The sequence below is a fragment of the Homo sapiens genome, chromosome 2, assembly GCF_000001405.40.
Source record: "Homo sapiens chromosome 2, GRCh38.p14 Primary Assembly".
NCBI lineage: Eukaryota > Metazoa > Chordata > Mammalia > Primates > Hominidae > Homo > Homo sapiens.
In genome coordinates this window covers 241,955,780-241,982,373 of record NC_000002.12, presented here as the reverse complement: position 1 = coordinate 241,982,373, position 26,594 = coordinate 241,955,780, and the positions used below count along the sequence as shown (strand labels likewise).

Here is a 26,594-nt window from a genome sequence, read left to right as displayed (position 1 = left end):
AAGGACCCCAGTGGGGATGGGCTATGGTTGGAGACCCTGGTATGAACCCCAGTTTAGCTTGACATAGACACAGATGGTTCCATGCAGAATATTTATAGACATGTATGTGCATGGATTAGCATTCACACACATTCCCTTGCTCTGTCAGCTGAGAATAAAAATGAGGATCATTATTACTATTACATTCTCATCTAGGCCTTTAAATAGCAGCTCCAGTTGTAAACCTCTCTAAGGGGCTCTGGATTAACTGCGTGAGAGTGATGAGGGGAAAAGGTCTTTCTCATCTCCATCTGACCTACCCATCTACCAACCAAGCTGGACACTGACTGTCCTTCCGTCCTCTCCCCAGATGAGTCATTGCAAACAGAAGCCCCAGAAAGACTCCATGAAGAATGGTAGTGAGTTTGGTGCAAAGGAAAGATTTAGTGAAAATGACACTTAGTTCATTAACTATTCACGGTGGAGCAACCCATGTGCAGAAAACAAGCCTCAGCCCAGCTGGGCTCTCCCTGGGTCTTACTCCTCCACTGAACTCCCTCGGACGCCTGCAATGAGAAGCCCCTCATGCCAAGCCTCACCTGCCCCTTCCCCTCTGCCACCCCCTGCACCACACAGACTACACAGTTACTCTGTAACTCAGCTATCTGTGGACAAAACCAAAAGAATGGCCTGTATTTGCAACTCACTCTTGATTTCTCCCATTTATAACGCCAGGGAGCTATATTAGTCGCTCCTCAATAAAATACCACAGTCTGGGTGGCCCCTTTGTGGGTGTCCACGTGAGCATGTTGGCCACGAGCCTTCAATTGAACTTGACGTCACTGCATTCTCTGCAGAGTGACAAGGAGGTAGGAGCACCGGCCACGAGTGAGTTAGGGTTTCGCACACAGAGATGGCATGAGAACAGGGATGCTGGCACGTCACTTGGGTGTTTGCTGGAAATGCAGAGTCTCAGGCCCACCTCAGGCCTCCCGGGCTGGAATCTGGATTTTAACATGGGCATCTACACCCTGAAGGGTGGGAAGCTGGGCTTACAGGAGAGACTCAGGGAACGTGAGGCCAGGGTGGCCGGGGCCCTCCCAGGCCTCATGGACTTGTCGTGTCCGTGGACATCATCTGCACCTCCGTCCGTGCCCGCCACTTGTCAATCCATGTCCTTTGTCCTAAGAGCGTGGCCAGAGTCGCCAAATAGACCTTTTGTGTGCGGCCGAAGCTCACACCCAGGAACCTATGGGGCAGGCTGACTCCGTCACTTCCACACAAAGGGCAGCGCTGCTGAAGTCCACAGGCCCGAATCCATTGCTGGTGTTACAGGCAGAGTCGTGCTCCTCCCGAATTCATGTGTTGAAGCTCTAACCCCAAGCCCCAAAGAATGTGACTGTTTTGGGACATAGGACCTTTTAAAAAGGGTGATAAAGTTAAAATGAGGTGACCAGTGTGGGCTCTAATCCAACCTGCCTGGTGTCCTATATAAGAGGAGATGAGGACACAGACACCCACAGAGGGACGATGCTGTGAGGACACAGCAAAGAAGCTCCATCTGCAAGCCACGGAGAGTGGCCTCCACAGAGCCCAGCCCTGCCGAGACCCGGATCTCAGTCTTCTTCCCTTCAGAGTGCTGAGAAAATACACTTCTGTTGTTTAAGCCACCCAGGATGCGATATTTCGCTGACCAACACAGCTCCCTGGCATTGCAAAAGGGAGAAATCAAGAGTGGGTTGCAAATGTAGGCCATTCCTTTGGTTTCGTCCATGGATAGCTGAGTTACAGAGAAAGAGGGTTTCTGGACGTCTGAGTACTTGCACTCCAAACTCCAGCTCCACGAGGTTATCAGAGAGCCACCTCCACTGTTGACACTGGTTTCCCCCTCGGCCTGCCTTTCCTTTGTATTCCCTGGGCTCAGCAAGCAATGCCGCTTTCCATCTTTTTTGTCTCTCCAAAGAAATGAGAACTTAATACACACCAGCCTTGAACTGGGGATCACGTGTTGCCAAGAACACTTAAGAGCAGACAACGCACTTTGAGCTGGATGGAAGCACCACACCCATGCATGGCCTACATGCCCCATGCACACAGCAGCTGCAATACAGGGCAACAGCTCCCAAGGTCAACCTGTGCTTCTCCTACTCCAGATGTGGGATCAAGCATTTCCCCAAGGGTCCTGGTCCCAGGGAAGGGTATTCACAAGCAAAGGTCTTCATGCTGGACTCCAGGACACAGACAAGGAACAGAGGCATCCCTGCCGAGGCTGGGAGTGGGGGATGGGGAGGGGATGGGTGGGGGATGGGGGGATGGGGAGGGGATGAGGAAGGGATGGGGGATGGGGGATGGGGTGGGGAGGGGAGGGGTGGGGGATGGGGAGGGGATGGGTGGGGGATGGGGGATGGGTGGCACCTCACTCTGGAGCGAGGACAGAAACCCTTGTGAAGGCCATGGCAGGATGGGGGCACAGGCCCCATGAAGTCCAAAGACAGAGACCAGGGAACTGCCCCTCCCCAACCCTTCCCTCCCCTCTAACTGACAAGCTCTGGGATAACTGGATTACAGCTAAGAGACCTGAGAGACACAGGCTGTCCGAGGAACAGCAAAGGAAAGCCCAAAACCACAAAGGGAGACAAAAGGAGGTCACAGAGGGATCTGAAGTTATACACACACACAGCTACAGCAAACACAGCCCGGCCCTGGGCAGGGTTAATGCAAATCTCCAATTCACAACCTATTTATTCAGAATCGATTGCCCTCAGCCAGGTGCGGTGGCTCACGCCTGTAATCCCAGCACTTTGGGAGGCTAAGGCGGGTGGATCATTTGAGTTCAGGAGCTCAAAACCAGCCTGGCTGGCATGGTGAAACTCCATCCCTACTAAAAATACAAAAATTAGCCAGGCATGGTGGCGAGCATCTGTAACCCCAGCTATTTGGGAGGCTGAGGCAGGAGAATTGCTTGAGCCTGGGAGGCAGAAGTTGCAGTGAGCAGAGATCATGCCATTGTACTCCAGCCTGGGTGACAGCATGAGACTCTGTCTAAAAAAAAAAACAAAACCAGAATCTATTGCCCTCTAGGAGATGTCCAGCCTGCCAAAAAAAAAAAAAAAAAAAGGAAAAAGCAAATTGAACCCCAAATGAGAACTACTACCCACACCAATTAGAATGGCTAAAATGCAAAATTCAAGCACCACCACCCAGTGCTGATGAGGTTGTGGAGCTACAGAATTGCTGTCAGAACTGCAAAATGGCACAGCCACTGTGGAAGACAGTTGGGCAGTTTCTTAGAATGTGGAACAGAATCTTACCACAGGATCTGGCCATCACAGCCCTAGCTATTTACCCAGCTGGCATGAAAACTTGTTCACACAAAAACCTGCATGTAAATATTTACAGTTGTTTTATTCTTAATCTCTAAAAACTGGGAGCAACCAAGATGTCTGCTATGGACGGAGGGTTTGTGACCCCCCAGAATTGGTACATTGAAGCTCTGCCCCATGTGATATGTCTGGAGACAGGACCTTTGGGGGTGATTAGGTCATGAGGGTGGGGCCCTAGTGAATGGGGTTAGTGTCCTTACAAGAAGAGACACCAAAGCTGACTCCCTCTCTCCAATGTGAGCACAAGTCAGAAGGCAGCTGCCTGCACATCAGAAGAGGCCTCAGAATGAATATGCAGCCAGCACCTTGAGCTTCCCAGCCTCTAGAACAGCAAGAAATAAATTTCTGTTGTGTAAGCCTCCCAGTCCATGGTGTTTTGTTCCAAACTGCCCAATACAATGGTCTCCCCCAGGGAAATGGAGAACACGTGCTTCTCAGTGCAGTAGGAGCTGCGGAGAGATAAAAGGAACCAGCTATTGATTCACATAGCAACAATGATGAATCTTAAATGTGCTCTACTAAGTGAAAAACCCATATACATGATTCATGGGCTACATATCACATGATTCCATTCATATGATACTTTGGAAAAATTAAAACTATAGGAATGAACAGACTAGGGCCGGGGTGTCCAATCTTTTGGCTTCCCTGGGCCACACTGGAAGAAGAATTGTGCCTTGGGCCACACATAAAATATACTAACACTAACAATAGCTCTTGAGCAAAAAAAGTCCATGTATAAATCTCATAAGGTGTTAAGAAAGTTTACGAATTTGTGTTGGGCCACATTCAAAGCCATCCTGGGCCGCATGCAGCCCACGGGCTGTGGGTTGGACAAGCTTGGACTAGCAGTTGCCAGGGGCTGGGGAGAGGAGTGCTTGGCCATCGGCGGACACACGAGGAGCTCTTCTTTCTGGCACTGGGGTGGTAACACATGACTGCACATCACAAAGCGCGGACAGTAATGAGGGCGAACTTAAAGAAACAGGAAGCTGACCTGAGTAACTTCAGAATATGATGTTTTGAGTGGAAATTGTAAAGCTAAAGACAAAAGGACATTAATATCATTCCTTTGTTGGTAAATTTCCCACAGGGGTACAAGTTAACAATTCACATACACTGGGATTGAACAGATAAGTCAACGGATGGCAAACCATGGGAGGCAGGCTTCTTGTGTTGGAGGGGAAGGTTATTTGTAAATAAGAGGAAGTTTAGACTGAACCCTGTGGTACTAGATGAGAATCAGAGACATCAGTGTGAACTCATGTTTAGCTTTGCATCGATATAAGGATGGACAGATCCAGAGATAATCTGAAGTATGTGTTCACACATAGGGTATTATCTGCACGCACATTACGCAGCTCTCTTCACTGACAGGGCTGGAGGCAGTGACACCCTCGTCCCACTGAGCACACCCAGCACCCAGGTTTCTGTTTCTAAATATCATTCTCCAATGAGGGGAACCACGGCTGATTCTAGGGTGGATCAGAGAGAAGACAAGATGAGCCTGGAGTATCTCATGATATCAAAAAGTAAGGAAATTTTCAAAAAAACAAAAGGATGGGGGATTGTCCAATGGACACAGATGCCAACGTGAAAGGGCTGCCAATGGCCAAAGATGGAAAAATTTGAACAACAAAAGAAATAATATATTGGATGATTGAATTATAATAAAAAATATACAGTAAATATCATGAGCCCATACTGGTATAAATAATTGAATAAACAAGTAAATGTGGAGAAGAGGCAAATCTTTCTTACTCCAAATAACATCATATGATCATATGTAGCAGCCCCTCCAGGAGATGGAGTTTAACTCTTCCCCAGCCCTCCCCTGAAGGTAGCACAGGCTTCGTGACTCATCCCAAAGAGTGGAGCGGTGGAAGGGAAGACAGTGACTTTACAGCGAAGACACCTGGCGGACGCCACCTGATCCAAGTGTTAGAAGATAAACGTAGGCACGTGAAAGTGTAAAGAGTTATTTGAGGAGACAGGAATCCATGAGCTGGGCAGCACTGAACTACAGCAGTTTGGGCTCTACCAAGGAGCACAAGGAAAACCTTCATCAGTGTTCTTGGAAGGAAGAACAGAAAAAGGATGGATTGAAGTGAAACAGCAGTCACACGGCCTCTGCTTTGAGGTTAGCTGGCAGTTTCTGTTTAAACTTGAATTTTCTTTCCTAGGACAGGACCCCTTACCCTGAATGGGGTTTCTGTGTGCAGGAACTGGGTTTGCTTCTGAGGTACTGAAGCCCTCAGCCTAGTGCCTCCCGATGCGTTATTTTCACACAAGCGATCGGGTTAACGCCACCTGTGAAGTCAAGAGGATGTTCTATGCCCCTGAGAGGCCGTGAGGGGAAGAACATTTCACCTCCTTGGTATTATTTGCGGAAGCCCACCACCTCAGGCTAACCATGAGGAAAAGGACAGATGAACCCAGACTGAGGGGCATCCACAGGGTGCCCAACAGTCTCCTCCACACTGCCAGGGTCATGGCAAAGGAGAGACAGAAATGTCACAGACCAGAGAAGCCGAGGACACAGGAGGATCAGACACGACGTGGCACCCCAGGTGGGGTCACAGCAGAGAGAGGACATGGATGGAAGCTCTGAAATCCGAAGGCTGGAGTTTAGCTCGTGGCGATGCAACGCGGCTTTCTTGGCTGCTGCAGGTGGACCATGGCAGCGAAGACGTGGAAGCTGAGGGAAATTAGCAGCAGCTTGCAGAAACTGCCTGCACAATCTTCATAACCCTTCTGAAAATCTACAACTATTCAAAATTAAAAAGTATTTGAAACTGACAATGACAAACAGGCACTGCCAAGTTTCCGCCGGCCTCACACTCTCTGTGGTTATTCAGTCCATAAATGACGGCAGGAGGGGGATCAGCTACTCTCTGATCTTGAAAGGCAGAGGGCACCTCCCAGCCTCTTGACCTGGAAGAATTCCAAACAAGCTTCAGGGTTCCAGGCTGTTGCGTAAATCGTCTGCCATTCGAGTGATTGCAGTTCAGATGATTCCAAATAATTAGCAATTACATCTCCTTTTGCCCCCCCTCCAATGACTGAAAATGAGCTTTGATCATTAATACCTATTTGGGAAGCTGAGAATTCTCTAAAAGAACTAAAACCTGGCAACTTCCCTATGCAAAAACTAATTAATGATTCAATTAATAAAAATAAAGAGACTCTTCGTCACGTCTTTAAAGAAACATGGCCCAGAGATGGCACTAATGAAGAATACAGCCATGTCCAGACCTGCGGGGCCCAGAGCTCCACCAGAAGTCACATGCCCCTGGCAAGGCCCCTGCCCCAGGAACCTCCCTTCCTGTGTCCTGATGGGACAGTGGATTTACTGGGAATGTTAACAGAACCACCACACTCATGGCAAGTGCAAAATGTGCCCTGGCAGACCTGAGTTTGTTTCCTTCCGGTGAGTTCTGCCTGGACTGTGAAGTCTCCCAGGGTGAGGGGGGCAAGTGACCCCACACTGTGCCTGTGCCCACCTGTCCAGAGCTCTGGACTGTGGAGTCTCCTCGGGGAGACAAGCTGACCCCACACCGCGCCTGTGCCCCCCTGTGCCAGAGCTCTGGACTGTGGAGTCTCCTCGGGGAGACAAGCTGACCCCACATCGCGCCTGTGCCCCCCGTCCCAGAGCTCTGTTCTCTGGTCTCCTGGAGGCTCTGAAGTCCATTGGAAAGATCACCCCAAGCCAACACACCTCCACGCGCAGAGCTCACATCCCAGGGCCCCCGGGGGCTTCGCACTTTCCTGGCATGCCTAGGATTTTTCTGTGGCTTCAGGGGCTGCTCTTATCAGCTTGACCCAGCGCAGCAGGTGGGTGAGTTGGGAAGTCAGCGTCTCACTTTGTGCAGACACAGTGTGGGGGACCGTAAGAAGATTTCTACCTTCAGCTGTGACAGCCGGAGCTCCCGGAGGACGTGGGCACATGGGGAGAGCCAAGTGAAGGGTCTGGCCTGCGATGCCCTTGTAGCCGGGCCGAGGTTGGGCAAGGCGCTCTACCCACAGTCGCTCTGGTTTGGCCTCTACATGGCCCTGGGAGGTTGAAGCCGCTCTCTGTGAATTCCTTCCCGGGGCACTGAGGCTGGAGGGACGTGCCCAAGACCCAAGGTCCAGTGAGAGTTGCTGACAGCTTTTGGTGACCAGGAGCTGTGGGACAAGCCTCTTTGTACTTACACAGGGTGGTTTCTCAACGCAATGCTCACTCATGGAGCCCAGCTCTGCCCCAGTTTGGAGATCCTCATCCTGGTAAGGTGTGGGAATGTGGGTGACGACTGCTCCATCTCATCAGTGCCACCTGCTCCTTCTGCCTATTCTGAGAAGGACCTACACTTCAAACAGGTGTGGGGAAGGCAAGGACCCTACCAGGGCCTGCCCAGTGAATAGCTGTTGCAGGAAATTCGTTTAAGCCTGGGCATATTTATTCATTTATTAATTAATGCTTCCTTGGGGGCATTTTATCTTCCAAAATCTTCCACAGCCCTGGGATTCTTCCAGATTCAGTCAAGTGCATCCTCATGGTGATGTGTGGCCAGCAGGCGTCCCTGCAGACAATTCGAGGCTGAGCCAACAGAGCCAGTGGGAAGGAGCCCTTCGGCCCGTGCTACCCCTCAGCACACACTCCCAGCACCAGCTCTCCAGCTGCTTGGCCAAGACCCAGGGGCCTCTGACCTCCCGGGTCCCTGCCCAGCTCACCCCAGAGCCCTGCCAAGGAGCTCTCCCAGGGCAGCGTCACCTGGAACCGCTGGTCACGGCCAGCCCCACCCACCCAGGTGCGCAACGGAGGCACATGTGCCCTCGTGCCCCAGTGAAGGGCAGGGACTCAGGAAACACCGTCAGCAGAGGCGGCCCCTCGCCAAATTCATGACTCCTTCGTTAAACTAGTTCTTCCCAAAGATGGCAACACACAGCATGGCCTAAAACATCCTCCGAGGTGAGAGTGGGGTCCCCGGAGGTAAGATGTGCCTCTGCCTTTCCAGCAAGGGGGCCTGGGCAGAGGGGGCCATGTCTATCTCAGGTCCCCTGCCGTCTGTGATGGGGCTGGCACCAGGACCTCAGCTGCTGTTCCAGGGACACGGCCCAAACCATGCCTGGAGAAGGGCACAGGCCGCCATAGCTGAGCCCAAGAATTCCAAGCTGCAGTCGCAGTTCCAGGCCACACAGAGCCCAGGGCCAGTGCTCCCAACTCCCCAGGCTCCGAGAAGCAGCGAGGCTTCAGCTCCCATAAAATTAACTTAGTACCTGGAGAGGACACTCCTAAGCCCGGCTCAGCCTTGGCCTCCCGGAAGCATGTGCTTCTCTCTTCCCACGCCTGGAGGGTGGATGCCCCCTGCATGTTCCTCTGAATCGGTAATCAGCCCCATGAGTGCCCGTCTAAACGTTTCCTTCATGGAGACCAAAAAATAACTGTGCACATTTTTCCCAAGACTGAAGTTGTAAATTACAGGCACCCTTCAACCAATTGGCTCCTCATCAAGGAAATTAACAATCTCTCTGATTGCTAACAGATTTCCTTTCCTCCACCATTTGTTTATCCTTTATCCTGTAGTTTTCCATAAATGGTTCCTCTAAAGTAGCAAATACGAGTTACGTGGAAAATGGCAAAACAGGAAAAAGGCAAATCTCCCTGTGCCCCTCCCCCCTGACCCGAGTCAGGTCCAAGTTGGGCTTTGTCCAATGTCCTCACGGCTGTGGATGGTGCTGTGTCCCCCAAAAAGATAGTTGAAGTTCTAACCCTCACACCTGAAAATGTGACCTCATTTGGAAATAGGGTCTTTGCACATGTGATCAAGTTGAAATGAGCTCATCCATTCGGTGTCCTCATAAGGAGAGAGAGATTTGGGCAGAGACACAGGGATAACACCATGGACAGATGGAGGCAAAGGTGGGTGATTCATTCACCAGGCAAGGAACACCAAGGGTTGCCAGGAACACCAGAGGAAGAAAACCAGCATGGAAGGGCTTCTTCCATGGAGCCTCCAGAGGAACCAGCTGCTTGACCTTGGACTCTCGGCCTCCAGATTGTGAGGGTCACCAAGGACTCCTTCCATAAATTCAAAATCGCAAAGCCGCAGTTTCCAGGCCTCCTGGTTGGGATAGCATCCATTCACAGAAAGAGCAGCTCTGTGCACGTCAGTGAAGGCACTGAGGGCTTACCCGGGCAACAGAAGCTTCAGGACTCTGAATCCCTAAATCCCATGTCAGTGAAGGCATTGAAGGCAACAGAAGCTTCGGGACTGTATCCTAAAATCCCTGACCTCAGGGTAGTGCATTTCTGTTCCCAGTATTGAGTTACTGCAGTTTCTGAGAACAACTCCAAGTTGGCAAGGACAGTTCCCTCATGCTAGCTGCATCTGTATTAGTCCATTTTCATAATGCTATGAAGAAATACCTGAGACTGAGTAATTTATAAAGAAAAAGAGGTTTAATGGACTCACAGTTCCACATGGCTGGGGTGGCCTCACAATCATGGCGGAAGGTGAAGGAGGAGCAGAGGCAGGTCTTACATGGTGGCAGGCAAGAGAGCCTGTGCAGGGAAATTCCTGTTTATAAAACCATCAGAATCTCTTGGGACTTATTCACTATCACAAGAACAGCATGGGAAAACCCGCCCCCATGTCTCAATTACCTCCCACTGGGCCCCTCCCAGACACCTGGGGATTATGGGAACTACAATTCAAGATGAGATTTGGGTGGGGACACAGCCAAACCATATCAGCATCTTTCTGGGTGTCACAACTGCCTATGGAGCAGTTTGGTGGAACAAGCAGGCCTTGGTAACACAGGATATTTCAGAGACCATGGATGATGATGTAGCCACCCACCTTCCCAGGCCACAGAAATGGAAAAGCCAGACACGCTGAAAATGAACTCAGTCCTTCCTATCAGCAAGTAATATGATCAAATGGAAGAAAAATGTATTAAATAATGGATTATAATGAATGTGAGCAAATTAAACTACAAAACATAAGGCTGGAAAGACAACCTTCTTTTTAACAGAAATGTACCAAAAGGGGAAATGTTATAACTTTCTATGAGAATTGATCAATAATTTGGCAATCACAAAGTTAATGAAGTGTTTCTATTTCTTTTTGAATGACTACATAATTTGAGAAATTAACAGGTTGAAATGCCCCCTCCCAACTTCCCAGGAGGCAGGTCTGGAACCAGTTCCCCCATGCCCTGTGCCCCTAGTCAATATGGACATTTATTTCTCACAGTTCTGGAGGCTGGAAGTCTGGGGTCAAGGTTGTGGCCAATCCTGTGTCTGGCAAGGCTGCTTCCTGGTTTGCAGACACCATCTTCCTCCCTGTCCTTAGCAGAGAGGAAGGGTGGTGAGTAGAGAGAGAAGAGGCTGGTTCTGGTGTTTCTTCTTACAAGGGCACTAATCCCCTCATGGGGCTCCACCCCATGACCTAATCACGTCCCAAAGGTCCCATCTCCAAACACCATCCCACTGGGGTTTAGGATTTCAACGTAAGGATTTGGGGGGACGCAAACCTTCAGCCCACAGCAGTGCCCTTGGTCCTACCCCTTCCTCTCCTAGACTTCCTCCATAGGAGTTCGGCAGGCACTCCTGGTCTTCCTTTATCTTCTTGCAGAAAGATGGCCCGGCAGGTCTGTGACAACATTCACACCCACAAGGTCAACCAGGAAGAAACTGAACCTGATGCAAATAGAGACAGAGTCGCACCTGTGAGAAACAAACTCACCCGTCCAAACACAAAGACTGGACGCAGAGACCCGGAGAACAGCAAAACGGAGATTTTCAATGACAGTCTTGCAAGACTGGGTGTCTGGCTGGCATGCAGCCACCCCCAGCAGAGTTTCAACAAGCAATTTATCCCCTAGTGCGCAGGTCCCTCCCCCAGTTCCTCATTGACTGAGTAAATGGGGTTACGATCTTCCTGGACATCACCTATTGGTCGTTGGATTAAGATTTCAAGTCTGTTCTTTAGGATCTTTCTGCTGCATTTTATTGCAGCCCACCATGCATTGCAACTGTCTCAGGACTCTTCAAACATTTGACTATGGCCCTGGTGGCTGCACGTAGCTGATAAGAAAGGGTATAATTATTTATGTTGCAAGCTAGCCTAAACTAAATTCTTTGGTGGGGTGAGGAGAGGGTAGTTGAGGGGGCTCCTACTGATAGGCACGTGGCCGCTGGGTGAAAGGGAAAGCAGGAAGGAGGGCAGGGTGGTGACTCAGTACATTTCTGCTTCTTTATTTCTCTATTTCCACATAGCCTGCTTAAACCTATATGAAGGCACTTAGAACTGAAAATGGACCACCACATATAGGTTATTTTCTACACACCTACCTGTCAGCGACCGATCTTGCTCAGACGCATCCTTAACCAGCATGACCAGTCAGAGCTTCAGCCACACAGCAGCCTAGGGAGCTTCTTCATGCCAACATTCCTTACCTCTGTTTATTAATCTACCTACTTACCTGTAGAAGTTCATCCGTCTTAAGGACTTAGGAAAAATGTCTTGAGATTTTGGTCATGCTCATCCTTATGTTTTGAGGAAAGGGGTGCTCAGAATGAGTTGATGTGGCTTCGTCTGACACAAGCTGTCATAAACCCCATGCCCCGTCATCAACCCCACACCCCGTCATCAACCCCACACCCTGTCATTGACCCCACGCTCTGTCATAAACCCCACGCCTCATCATCAACGCCACACTCCGTCATTAATCCCACACCCCATCATAAACCCCATGCCCCATCATCAGCCCCACACCCCATCATCAGCCCCACACCCCATCATCAGCCCCAAGCTCCGTCATAAACCCCACGCCCCTTCATCAACCCCACACCCCATCATCAACCCCACACCCCATCATCGACCCCACACATGCCCCGTCATCAACCCCACACCCCGTCATCAACTCCACACCCCATCATCAACCCCATACTCCGTCATCAACCCCACACCACGTCATCAACCCCACACCCCGTCATCAACCCCAGGCCCCGTCATCAACCCCATGCCCCATCATCAACCCCACACCCCATCATCAACCCTACGCCCCATCATCAACCCCATACCCCGTCATCAACCACACACCCCGTCATCAACCCCAAACCCCATCAACAGCCCCACGCCCCGTCATCAACCCCATGCCCCGTCATCATCCCCACACCCCATCATCAACCCCACGCCCCGTCATCAACCCCACACTCGGTCACCCGTCATCATCCCCACACTCCATCATCAACCCCACGCCCCGTCATCAACCCCACACTCCGTCACCTGTCATCATCACCACACTCCATCATCATCCCCACACTTCATTACCCATCATCATCCCCACACTCCATCACCCGTCATCAATCCCACACTCCATACCCATCATCATCCCCACACTCCATCACCCATCACATCCCCACACTGTATCACCCGTCATCAACCCCACACTCCATATCCATCATCATCCCCACACTCCATACCCATCATCATCCCCACACTCCATCATCAACCCCACGCCCCGTCATCAACCCCAGACTCCGTCACCTGTCATCATCACCACACTCCATCATCATCCCCGCACTTCATCACCCAACATCATCCCCACACTCCATCACCCATCATCAACCCCACACTCCATCACCCATCATCAACCCCACACTCCATCATCATCCCCACACTCCATCACCCATCATCATCCCCACACTCCATCATCCGTCATCAATCCCACATTCCATCATCATCCCCACACTCCATCACCCATCACATCCCCACACTCCTCTATCACCCGTCATCAACCCCACACTCCATACCCATCATCATCCCCACACTCCATACCCATCATCATCCCCACACTCCATCATCAACCCCACGCCCCGTCGTCAACCCCACACTCCATCACCCGTCATCATCCCCACACTCCATCATCATCCCCACACTCCATCACCCATCATCATCCCCACACTCCATCACCATCCCCACACTCCATCACCATCCCCACACTCCATCACCCATCATCATCCCCACACTCCATCACCCGTCATCATCCCCACACTCCATCATCATCCCCACACTCCATCACCCATCATCATCCCCACACTCCATCACCATCCCCACACTCCATCACCATCCCCACACTCCATCACCCATCATCATCCCCACACTCCATCACCCGTCATCATCCCCACACTCCATCACCCATCATCATCCCCACACTCCATCACCCATCATCATCCCCACACTCCATCACCCGTCATCATCCCCACACTCCATCACCCATCATCATCCCCACACTCCATCACCCGTCGTCAACCCCACACTCCGTCACCTGTCACCAACCCCACACTCCATCACCCATCATCAACCCCACACACGCCCCGTCATCAACACAGCAGCACAGCGTTTCCTCCAGGAGAAACACCAAGATCTCACGTCCCATCCACAGGCTGAGGCTGCTGCTCCTGCAGGAACCTGGTGCAGTGTAGCAATTCCACATCCTGAAATTGCTCATCAAAACTCCTATTAAAGTGTCAAACAGTGAATAGCTAAAATACCACTTTGCTTGAACAGTGAAGAGGTTGGAAGGAAAACGTTAACTGTATCAGAGAATATGGACTCCTAACATACAGGGAGTCAGGTTCATTTTGAAGTCACTCTTCTTCCAACAGATTCACTAAGGCTCTTTGTCAACACAAATTGAAAACCGTTAAAAAAAAAAGTAATTATGATGCTTCCTGCCCTCCATGAAAGGACCACATACAGACACCACGCTCATATCTGAGGCCCTGGGGTAGCCTTTAATGGCCCAGCAGAATGGCCAGAACCGTTAGAGGAAACATTTAATAAAGTCTGGAGTCAGAGCCCTGCGGGTCTAGCTGGATTCCTGGAGGTGCGGCCCAGAAGCCAGCGGGAGGGAATTGGAGGCCGGAGGCTCAAACTGTCCCCACTTCCACCAAGGGCCCCTCCTCCAACAGCTTCCAGGCTGCCAAAGCCCCTGCATCACCTCCAGGGTCCCCTGGGTCCAGCCTCATGCTTCCCATAATGAGTTTTTAAACCACAACGCTGCATCAGGTGACATCTCTTCTGCAGGCTGTGCGCGTCTCCAGGGGGAAGGGGGCTGTGTCTTTGGGACAGTTTGTGCTCTCAATCACTTGACTGCTGACAGGCACCTCAGCTGAATGGTGTGATTTATGCAAAGATTGTGCTGAATTATTTAAAGCATTCTCTATTTAAAGAACAGAGAATATTTAATTAGCATTCTGCTGTGCTTAATTGAAGACTCACAAATCAATTAAAACTGCTTACCTTTTGGCAGTTCAGTAACTTCACAGAAACCTCCCAGGAAATGCATCCTATTCACAGCTGGGTTCATCCTATACCCAGCGACCTGTGGCCAGTGTGGCGCTGTGATTAGAGGCGGCTCAGCGCCTTCAGAGGAGCGGCCTGGCTGTGCGCACATTAGAGAAAGGCTTCCATCGTCGTTGGTCCTCTTTCTCACAGGGACTCTGGGGTCTTGGTGCCGGGAGATGCAACCGCCTCTGGCAGCCCGGCTTCATTTTAGGGACAGTGACTATGGAGAAACCCAGGTCTGACCCATTTTCTCCAGAGGGGAGGGAGCCACAGGGAAAGGCCCCTTGTTGCTCTGTTGGCCCTGAGTGCCTCCCAGGAAAGGTCAGAGCACAGACTCAGCCCTGGGAGGGCCGAGAGATCCCGCTGGACCCTGCCCTCCTCGACACTCTGGACAAGATGCAGAGAGTGGGGTCCTGGCAGCAAGATCCCGTGGGAGTGGGGCCTTGGAGCTCAGGGCCAGACCGAGGGGGTGCTCATTGCTGGCTCTGGCCTACAGACACGTTGACATTGGCACCACACGGGCCAACTGAAACCCTAAGAGAAAACCCAGCGTCCCCTGGCCAGAGCCACCAGAGGACAGAGCTCCCAATGAGCCCAGCTGCTAGAAAAGAAGGTGGAGTCCCAGGCAGAAGAGTTCTTCAGGCTGAATGGAAATGATTCCAGAGGGAAATGCAGATATGAAGAAGGAGATAAAGAGCTCCAGAAATGGCAAATAGCAGGGTGAGCCTACGCGACTTCTCTAACGGAAGAAATTACCTTTAAAACACACGTGCAGGCTTAGAGCAAAAGAAACCGTGCCATAAGGTGTGAGTAAGTGAAGTGCCTGTGACACCCACAGATCAGAGAAGCAGAGGCCTCCGGGATGGCAAGGCAAGGTTGCCGCATTTCATATGAAGTGCACAATCATCATAAAAGAATGCATTAAATATACATATGTATGCATTCAAATTACACTAACATCACATATATCCATTAGACTTTATCAAAATTAAAATCTTCTGTTCATCCACATAAAACGATGTCACTTACTGCAAAAAATATTCTCAAATATTTATCCAAGTGCTGAGATCCAGAATAAGTAACCCCTAAAATTTCATAATAAAACAACTTGGTGAAACAACGGTCAAAGGATTTGAACACTTCGCCAAATGATGGCAAATAAACACAAGAAAAAGTGCTCGACAGACTCGAGCACCAGGAAGATGCGTCGTAAACACCAACAAAAACCACCACACACACCCACAGTAGCCAAAATCTATAAAACTGGTGGCACCAAACGTGAGGGAGGATGTGGCCCACCCAGCACTGTTGCTGTGCATTCTTGGTGAGAACACCTAAGACGTCCCCTCAATGGGATTAGAAAACCACAAGGCAGGCAGGTCAGCTGCTGCACTGCACACCACAGCGGCTGGTGAACTCTGCACACAGCGGTGGGCCGTCAACTGAAACCACAACAGGCAGCGAGCAGCTCTCAAAATGAAGGCATTCCGTGGAGAACAGCAGTGGATTATCAACCAGGATGTGTGAGCCATGACAGACCACAGGCATTCCCTGGGAGGCTGGGGCAAGAGGAAGCTTTTAAAGGCAAAAGAAGCTTGAGGAAGCGGTTCTGAAACAAAACTTACCAGCCTGAGAGGCTCATTGCAGGGGCTGGCGATGACTCATTGGAAACACTGACAGCTGCTGGGAGACGTCCTCATAGAAGCAACTTCTGAGCAACGTTAAGCCTGGCATTCCAGTCAAAACCTGGTAATATAACCAATATTTTCCATTGTATGCTGCTGTGAAGAGAACAGGCTCTTATTGAACTTACACAAATGACTGTATTGCCAAAAACATAATCATACTCACAAATAGTTCACAAATTTTGGAGAGATAAGGTAGGGAAAGAAGCCTATGTTTCAATTTTTGTTCACAAAGTTATACTTTACCAAATTGGTGTAAATTATAGATAGCTTAAGAAAACTATTTTCCTTAAACCTGGAAAACAAAACATTAAAATAGAGAACCAAAAATATTTTAAATTAAAACTGTAAAAACCCATCATTCCTTTTCGTCAATTCATTCAGTCCCATGTAATTAATTCTCATTCTGCTTGATCTAGGTTAGCAGATTTATGAACCCATCAGTTTCTTCAACAGAGTCCCAAAAATATCTACTTTCTCCAACGGTATGATCTTAAAGGTATCAGCAATCAGAGTTCAAGAGGACTGCCAAAGTCATTTCATTAGAAGCAATTTGGACTGTAGTTGATTGCAAAAGCTTTTAGAGAAACATCAAAACAATAATTTGGATTTGGATCTTTACATGGATGACAAAAACATAGACGGGTCATGGTTAAAAGTCTGATGAGAGTTCATTATAATGAGAAATTGACAAGGAACTTTGGTTATTTCCATAGCATAGAACATTTTAACACAATAATTAGAACTACTACTGATAACATTATACCAAGATATATCAGATATTTAAGAATTTTATACAAATTTTGGAATACACTAATACTGTATCCATACAAATATAACTTAAAGAATGGTTAAGGCCGGGCGCAGTGGCTCACTCCTGTAATCCCAGCACTTTGGGAGGCCGAGGCAAGCCGATCATGGGGTCAGGAGATCGAGACCATCCTGGCTAACAAGGTGAAACCCCGTCTCTACTAAAAATACAAAAAAATTAGCTGGGTGTGGTGGTGGGCACCTGTAGTCCCAGCTACTCGAGAGGCTGAGGCAGGAGAATGGCGTGAACCCGGGAGGTGGAGCTTGCCCTGAGCCAAGATCGCGCCACTGCACTCCAGCCTGGGTGACAGAGCCAGACTCCGTCTCAGAAAAAAAAAAAAAAAAAAAAAAAGGTTAAACATCATTTCTTGTTTACAATGCTTCCCACATATTTAATAATTTAGCATGTCAAATAAACTTAATTAATATATCTCTTTTACAAGGTAAGAATAAAAAGATTTAATTTAGAATTTGATCTTGGGAAAGCTTGTCAAAAATGTCAAAGGTTTAAAACACTTAATTAAAACAGGATAATAGGTCACTGTGAAATAATAGTCATCCATTTAACTATAGTGATAATTAAAATACTTTAAAAGCAAATAAAGTTACACAGACAAAAAAAAAAAAAACCCTACCTCTTTAAAGGAAGAATTTTTCCAAGCAATCAAAAACCTAATAAAGACAGCGCAAAGTACACGACATTATCTTGATAAATTTTTCTAGGCCAGTTACTGTGGAGGCCTCATTACGGAGGGGGAGTGGGGCTGGCGGGACTGAAGGAAGCAAAAAGAGAAGGCACATAAGCCTTAAGTCTGCCTTTCTCATGGTCCAGAACACATAACCCTCCTGCACAAATAACTCAGTCTTCCAGCTATCACCAGATCCTTGACTGATGGGAAAATTACAAGTTAGCTCACGGCAACCTTGGCGTTATCAGCACTGTCAAAGCCCTCTTCAGCTCACAGCACAGAGACTGTCTTATAAAACCCTCACCAAGCCTTCGCCTCCTTGCAGTCAGCTCCTCTCTGCTAACTTGCCCATTGCACTCTCGCAATGTATTTTCATGCTTTCTTCAATAAATCTGCTTTTCTTTATCTGCAACTGTCTTGGTAAATTCTTCTCACCACACCACCAGCCCCAGAGGGTCACCACTCACCTGCGACAGTTACCAAAAAGGCAAGGAACACCCTGATTATTTTTTAATCAGGGGTAGATCAATACTACAAGAAAATCTTGTCGTATTAACAGAGAGGACCAAATTCTAGTTTCATGTCGGCAAACTTTAGATCTTTTTTCTTCTTCTTTTTTTTTTTTTTGAGACAGAGTCTCACTCTGTTGCCCAGGCTTGAGTGCAGTGGCGCAATCTCAGCTCACTGCAACCTCCGCCTCCCAGGTTCAAGCGATTCTCCTGCCTCAGCCTCCCTAGTAGCTGGGACTACAGGCATGCGCCACTACACCCAGCTAATTTTTGTATGTTTAGTAGAGAAGGAGTTTCACCATGTTGGCCAGGCTGGTCTTGAACTCCTGACCTCAAGTGATCTGCCCTCTTCAGCCTCCCAAAGTGCTGGGATTACAGGCATGAGCCACCACGCCCAGCCTAGATCTTAATGTTCTATTTTAGAAAGACTTATAAATTATTTCCTTCTATTTTTAGTCAACTTGATCACATACAAAATGTATTTCATAAAATTCATCTTCCATAAACCTTTTGCAATTTTCTCAAACCTTCTAGAATTTGTTCAAACCTTCAGTTTCGTTCTATACTTCCTCTTTTTTATACTGGAACAACCAATCATTCTAACTTAGGATAAAAATTTACTCTTTTTTCCCTTATAATTTTGGCCACACAAGATTTTCTCATATAAAAAAAAGTTTTATTCTCTTTTTCTTTTCAACTTTCCCTACCAAAGATATAACTTTCTTTGCTTATTTTTTGTCCCATTTACTGGTTCCTTTCTGCCTTGTTTCTATTTCCTTTCAAAATTTGCATTTTCAAGCAACCTTTAAATAACCTCCAAATTAGACAAAATTATTCTTCTTCTAAAAAAAACCCTCATGTCTTTTGTAATTTTTTTACCAAAAATACCAAAAATTGTATCATTATTTTTCATACTTTGTATATAGAGTTACACACATTAATTAGAATTTTTAAATCTTAGTGCCCTTAATTTTTAGTGGAACCTAGGAAGTAAGCAATTTTGAACTGTTATATGATAACATTTTATGAATACATATTTTATAATTTTTCAGAAACGTGCTTCCTCATAGAACAATTTCTCAATGTAGAACAAGACACAATGTTTTCTAATAGACCCAAACAAATTTTATCTTTCCACAGAACTTTCGAAGCCAGGAATAAGCTTACACTTATGTTCAGCGATTAATGTTTTAGTATTTTAACTTGTCTGTGTTACTCCTGAGAAACTTCCTGAGATATTAAGCATCCATCATCTTGAGGTGTTTTCCTATTAACCATTTTTACAGCATGTGACTGTCAGGCGGTCATCTCAAAATCAAGAAACCGAAGCGTTAAACGCACGGCGTTTTGTTTCATTGCTGCGCTTCCTGCGTGAGGAGTAACGGGCGTGCCGCCTCACTTCTGCGGGCACACTTGTTTTTAGGTCAGACTCATGCTTTACAATTAAACATTTAGCAGAGATGAAAGTTGCGTGTCTGCATCATCTTTAACGCTGAGGACTCTGAAGACACCTGCTTTTATCAAACCGGCAAATCTAAACTCACCTTTATTCACCAAAGTTTACCCCAGGTCAAGTGAACTTTAAAAACATTTGGGTTAGTTCCTATTTTTTTTTTTTACAGTTGTAGGTATGCTCATTTATTTCTAAGTCAATTTAAACAATGCCTCTTACTAAGTAGGAAAGACCTTAAAGATCTTTTATTTGCTCCATTTGTAAACAGTCAAGAATCACGCCAATCAAAAAATGTGCACAGCACACAGTCAGCAGTGCTGGGAAAGGATGGCTCGGCTGGCTGAGAAGTTCCCAGGGGGAGAAGCAGAGTCTGGCAGAGAAAACACAGAGCCACCACGAGTTATAGCCTGAGCATCAGCTTCCAGTTAGCCTGACTTCTCATCAGGGAGCTCTAAAGAAAGTCCCTTTTCAAATATCTTATTATCAGCTTTTAACCAGGACAACAGTAAACATTCCCGGTGGTATTGAAGTCTTTCTTTCCTCCCTTCTAGTTCCATTTTAGCTTAGGACAGAAGATCAAACAAACAAAAAGTTCCTATAATGCTCCAAATATTAACCAACTTCCAAACCAAAAGTAAACCTACTTCCGCTGTGATTCAAAACTAGTAAGCCCTGTATGGCTTAACCATGGATGCAAGAGGTCCCCAGAAAGGATGCAAAGGATGTAGCCCCCTTCAGGATCCAAAATTTCTCTTGAAGATAGGCTAAGGAAGTAAAGATGCTCACTGGTAACAAGGTAACCATGGTGAGGCGGTTAAGGTAAGTTCCTGAGAGCAGATGTGGTCGAACAGAGACACTTCATGTTTCGGTCCTGGCCGGTGACCGCCATCAGAAGCATGCCTAGCAACTCGGATCTCCCAGTGGGCAGAGACCGGAGACAGCATCCTCACTGGTTATGACCAAGTTCTCAAGACAGAAAACAGGCCTTAGGGCAAACCCCACAAAAGGCAGAGACAAAGAAAACAGCGGCTATTTCTGGGAAGCTGTGGCCAAAAAGCAACGGGCACCCAGCACCAAATTCACAAGAGTCACCATTTAAAGAACCACTTCTTACAATGTTCTCCTTTCGATCCAAATTTAAAAAGGGACAAGAAAACCTTTTACCTTCTCAACCAGGCATTCCAGGTAGTGGCGTGAGAGAGCTGACTTTGGGAAGAATTCCTGCCTCTGCCCTGTGTCAGGTGTCCTGGAATCCCACCTGCAGGTTCCGGGGAGAGGACAAAGTGGGATATCCCAGCCTTTAGCGTCCCAGTTGGACGCTAGATAGACTAGCAGGAGAGAAGCATCATACAGGTTTTACATAGCATGGGAGCCCCCGTATGGAAATGAAGACCCCAGAGAGGCCGTTATCAATTCACTAAATCATTCCAGGGGGCTTAAAACATACGAGTTATCTAACAAGGTCTGTACAATGTTCTGTCTGCTTCAGCTTCTCATCCTTGAAGATAAGAAGGCTGCCTTTCCTTCCTTCCTTCCTTCCTTCCTTGCTTGCTTGCTTCCTTCCCCCCTATTTATGGTCTCCGATGGGTGTAGAAGTTAATTTCTTGGATGTTTACATTTCAGCTAGGGCTGGTGAGAATAAAAAACCTCCAGGCAGCTTTGAAATCAGTGTGTTTTTTGGTTTTGTTTTAATTATAGTTGTAGCAGTGGGTTTTATCTTATTTGAAAATGACTCATTTTATGAATATCTATAAGTTCACGTTAAGGCTTCAAGTTTCCCCCAAAATATGTTTGGACTTCATTTTAAGTAGACACAGTTTATAAAACAACTATCATTGAAAAGTTGATGAACTTTAAAGTCATTTACATTCACCTACAATTATGCTTTAATTCCTTCTTAATCAAAACTGGCCATTGAAGGAGTCAGGAAGGACCATTCCAGATGATGCTTCTTTAACACAAATATTCTTTTCTGCTAAAAGCAATGAAGAAGTAGCAGAGGAAGGGCTCTATTTTTCCTTCCATCTAAAGAAGGATATTAATTTTCTTAACTGGACACAACTCTTACCAGCACAGAGATGGCAGCAGGGGAATCCTAATTACATCTTACTTCACTCATTTATTCTCATAGTTTTTGCCTCTGGAAGCCAAAAGCTGTTTTCCTTTATAGACGTGAGTTTTTACAAAACAGTTTCAAAATAGCCAGCTAAATGCCAGAAAGTGTTTAGTTTGATAGACAGTCTTTTCAACTTTGCTTGTTTCTTGATTAGATTGCTAACTTCAGGGTAGAGCCCATTAAGGAATAGTGGGGAGAAAACATTTTTTTATGTCTGCAATCAGCATGGGTAGCTTTGAAAAAGAAGCAAGCCTGCTGTTTTTCAAGTGATTCTAACTAAATTGTCAATATGCCAGAATAGCATATTTAATTACTTTATCTCCTTCATCTAGAACTTCCCTAGAGGTTCCATGTGTTAAAAGATGAATTGGTGTTTGTGGAGAAAAGCTGGGGAGCTCTGAATAAAGGGGGTGGGGAGGTCAGCCAGAGAAGGAGGAGGAGGATGTGCTGTGGGAAGGGGAAGGAAGGGCTCTGGGAAGGAGGTGCCTTGGCTGGTGTGGAGACAGTATTTTGCAACGAGGCCTTTTTAAAGTCCTGAATGCACTTTGAAGCCTCAAGATGGCAACTAAAAATACGCGCCTCATTCAGACTGTTTAACCCAATAGCTGCAATTTTCTAATATAGTTCTAGGAAACCAGTCTGGGGAGTTGGAATGATTCTCAAATGGCCACTGGAATTCTAAATCACCCTTGGTGTCATCTGTCCATGGGCTTAAAATGTGCACAAAGGGCCACAATGTTTGAATGTACGACCAGCTGAGCCCCCGAAAGCCGGGCGTGCCTTACACTTTGAGAATCCCATTCTGTCTCCTACTGCACTTTTGAGAGCAAAAAGAAATTCATATAACCGCTGTATGTGATATTTGCTCTTTAAAGATGTTTTGAAACAAGCAGGGAGAGCAGAAGTAAAAAAAGCCAAATCACTTAATCACTTATGGACGCACAGAAACAAACAAACCAGAGCACTCCCCAGGACCAGAAAGGACAACCCGGCCTCACAGGGTCCCAGGACGGACGCAAGGTCCTATATTAAGGTGGCCTGGTCCAAGGCAGATCCCGAGCGAAGTCAAGCTTCTGCCGGAAGGAGGGCTCTCAGCCTGGGAGAAGATGCACGTGGCAGAAGAGGTGGGCCGCAGAAAGGAAGAGCTCAGAGGCCTCAGGCGGGCACTACACAGCAGTTCCAAGAATTGTCACTTCCTTCTGAAGGCCATCTTCCTTCTGGTCCTATTTCTGGCACCAGATTGTGCCATCCTGAGCAGCAAAGGGAGCGGCTCTCAGGATAAGTGAGTTTATTTGGAACAACACAGAGGCATAAGGACTTTCAGAGCGTCTGTGCAGCCGCTCTTACCACAGACGCACAAGCAGGAGGCTCCCTTCCTCATATCTCCCGTGCGTCTGTGCAGCCGTTCTTACCGCAGACGCACAAGCAGGAGGCTCCCTTCCTCAGGATCTCCCACTCTGCTTTAGGAGAGCAACTGCATCCTGGCATCAGCAACTTCCACAGGCTCTGAGGGATAGCGTCAGAACCAGGCACCGAGCAACCTACTGGGATTCTGGAACAGAAATTATAATAACATGTAACCTTTATAAGATCCCCAAGAGGGTCTGATATATAGCCGAGTTAGGGAAGACTGGAGTAGTGAGTTGAATTATGTCTTCCAAAAATATGTCTAAGTCCTAACCCTATATGGCTTAGCTAGGTCCCCACCCAAATCTCATCTTGAACTGTAGTTCCCATAATCCTCGTGTGTCATGAGAAGTGATTGAATCATGGGGTGGTTCCCCCATGCTGTTCTCATGATAGTGAATGAGTTCTCATGAGATCTGATGGGTCTTTTTTGTTTTGTTTTTGTTTTTTTGAGACGGAGTCTCGCTCTGTCACCCAGGCTGGAGTGCAGTGGCACAATCTCGGCTCACTGCAACCTCCACCTCCTGGGTTCAAGTGACTCTTCTGCCTCAGCCTCCCAAGTAGCTGGGATTACAGGTGCACGCCACCATGCCTGGCTAATTTTTGTACTCTTAGTAGAGACAGGGTGTCACCTTGTTGGCCAGGCTGGTCTCAAACTCCTGACCTTGTGATCTGCCCACCTCAGCCTCACAAAGTGCTGGGATTACAGGCCTGAGCCACCATGCCTAATGGATCTGATGATTTTATAAGGGGCTTTTCCTCCTTTTGCTGGGCACTTCTCCTTCTTGCCGCCATATGAAGAAGGACATGCTTGCTTCCTCTTCTGCCATGATTGTAAGTTTCCTGAGGCCTCTCCAGCCATGCAGAACTGTGAGTCAATTAAACCTCTTTTCCTTATAAGTTACCCAGTCTTGGGTATTTCTTCATAGCACCATGAGAACGCGCTAATACACCTCAGTACTTGTGAATGTGACCTTATTTGGAAATCAGGTCATTGCAGATGTAATTAAGTGAAGGATGTTGAGATGAGATCACACTGGGTTGCCCTGGTGGACCCTAAATCTACTGACTGGTGTCCTTATAAGAGAAAGGAAGAGGGATATTGGCACAGACAGAACAGGAGAAGAGAGAGGAAAGTGGAGAGGGCACATGAACAGAGGCAGAGATGGGAGCAATGCAGGCACAAAAACACAGGCCCAGGGACACCTCGGGACACCAGGAGCTAAGAGAGGCAGGAAGGCTTCTCTCCTCAAGCCTGGGAAGGGAGTGAGGCCACCAACATTTTGATCTCAGATTTCTGGTCTCCAAAAGCGAGAATAAACTCCTGTTGTTTTTTAGAGACGGAGTGATACGGTTTAGATGAGTGCCCTCCACATCTCACGTTGAAATGTGCTCCCCAGTGCTGGAGGTGAGGCCTGGTGGGAAGTGTTGGATCATGGGGGCAGATCCCTCGTGAATGGCTTAGCACCACGGCCTGGGCGATGAGTGAGTTCCTGCTCGGTTGGTTCTCGGGAGAGCTGGTTGTTTAAGAGTCTGCTCCCTCCACCTTCTGGCTCTCACCACGTAATCCTGCCTCCCCACTGCTTCGGTTGTTTAAGAGTCTGCTCCCTCCACCTTCCGGCTCTCACCATGTAATCCTGCCTCCCCACTGCTTCGGTTGTTTAAGAGTCTGCTCCCACCCACCCTCCGGCTCTCACCACGTAATCCTGCCTCCCCACTGCCTTCCACCATGACTGGAAGTTCCCTGAGGCCTCCCCAGAAGCAAAGGCTGGCACTATGCTTCCTGTACAGCCTGCAGAACCATGAGCCAATTAAATCTCTTTCCTTTATGAATTACCCAGCCTCAGTATTTCTTTATAGCAATGCAAGAACAGACTCACATGCAGGATCTCACCCTGTCGCCCAGGCTGGAGTGCAGTGACGCTAAGCTGTGGGCCACATTACCGTATCCCAGACAGCCAGGACTTGGTCAATGACTGTGGCTTCCTGAGTTGGACTCCTCATCGCCTTTCAACTCAAGACCAAGCTGGGAAAGCCACATGTGCTCCATTACCAAGCCCGTAGGCCGCCCCCGCTCCCCAGAGCCACAGCCTCCACCAGGGTACGCCAGGGCTGTCTGTTCCACTGTGAAGCTCCCCAGCCCAGCTGCCTTCAAGTCACTGTCCAACACAAACAATGTGGCCAGGCCCTTGCCCAGCCAGCCCTGGGTGAGCCCTACCTGTGCTCCTGGGGGTCTTTGATGACATCCACTGCCTGGGCCAGCTCCCTCGACACTCTCCACCTCCCGTCCTAGCTGCCCCTCACATCGAGTGCCCCTAGGCACCCCCCAAGAGCTGCAGACCCCTGCCTTCCTTCTCCACATCTGCCCCTCACAGGCTTCCCTGCCACTCTCCCTGCCCTCCACTGCCACTCTCGCCCTGACCCTGCCATGTCTGCCCATCATCCTCACGTGTGCACTGCTGGTGGTGTCTAGGGTCAGGCTTGTCATGTGTGGCCCCTGAAGGCAGACGGTTCAGCAGTTTGCTCACTGTTCTTCCTCATGCCTCAAAGTGTGTACACATGTTCATGGCAGCAGGTACACATGTTCATGGCAGCAGATACACGTATGTTCATGGCAGCAGGTACACATATGTTCATGGTGGCAGATACATGTATGTTCACAGCAGAAGGTGCACGTATGTTCATGGCAGCAGGTACACATATGTTCATGGCAGCAGATACACGTATGTTCATGGCAGCAGGTACACATATGTTCATGGCAGCAGGTACACATATGTTCATGGCAGAAGTTACACATATGTTCATGGCAGCATTATTCACAGCCGACGAAAGGTAGAAACAGCCCAAATGCCTAACAGGTGTGAAAGGAAAACAAACCTTGGGCCCCCAAATTCCTAAGCTAAAGGGAAAATTCTAGCTGGGAACTGCTTAGGGCCAATCTGCCTGCCATTCTCTTCAAAGTCTCCCCTCTGCTCACTGAGATAAATGCATATCTGACTGCCTCCTTTGGAGAGGCTCATCAGAAACTCCAAATAATGCAACCATTTGTCTCTTATCTACCTATGACCTGGAAGCCCCCTCCCTGCTTCCAGTCTTCCCGTCTTTCCAGATCAAACCAATGTTCATCTTACATATGCTGACTGATGTCTCGTGTCTACGATGTATAAAACCAAACTGTGCTCCGACTGCCTTCAGCATGTTATCAGGGCCTCCTGAGGCTGTGA

General features: G+C 48.1%; 2 long non-coding RNA genes across 2 annotated transcripts in view, besides 1 other annotated feature; both read right to left on the bottom strand.

Moving 5' to 3' along the window:
* Positions 1-26,594, bottom strand: part of LINC01237 (long intergenic non-protein coding RNA 1237) — a 197,360-nt gene that overhangs the window by 96,349 nt on the left and 74,417 nt on the right. The window contains exon 3 of the long non-coding RNA NR_110220.1: positions 16,327-16,447. This is a non-coding gene — a long non-coding RNA (long intergenic non-protein coding RNA 1237). The remainder of the gene's footprint in view (positions 1-16,326; positions 16,448-26,594) is intronic.
* LINC01238 (long intergenic non-protein coding RNA 1238) lies at positions 5,098-11,691 on the bottom strand. The gene is made up of 6 exons (NR_110592.1): positions 11,093-11,691; positions 10,881-10,999; positions 10,599-10,689; positions 10,205-10,261; positions 9,818-9,922; positions 5,098-6,296 (listed from the first exon to the last, which is right to left on the bottom strand). It is a non-coding gene; the product is annotated as a long intergenic non-protein coding RNA 1238 (long non-coding RNA).
* Positions 16,091-16,598: an enhancer, noted in NCBI's record as "H3K27ac-H3K4me1 hESC enhancer chr2:242907927-242908434 (GRCh37/hg19 assembly coordinates)". NCBI's record gives its function as "activates a minimal SCP1, AML or CMV promoter by ChIP-STARR-seq in naive H9 embryonic stem cells {active_cell/tissue: H9 hESC(naive)}" and the evidence as "EXISTENCE:reporter gene assay evidence [ECO:0000049][PMID:30033119]".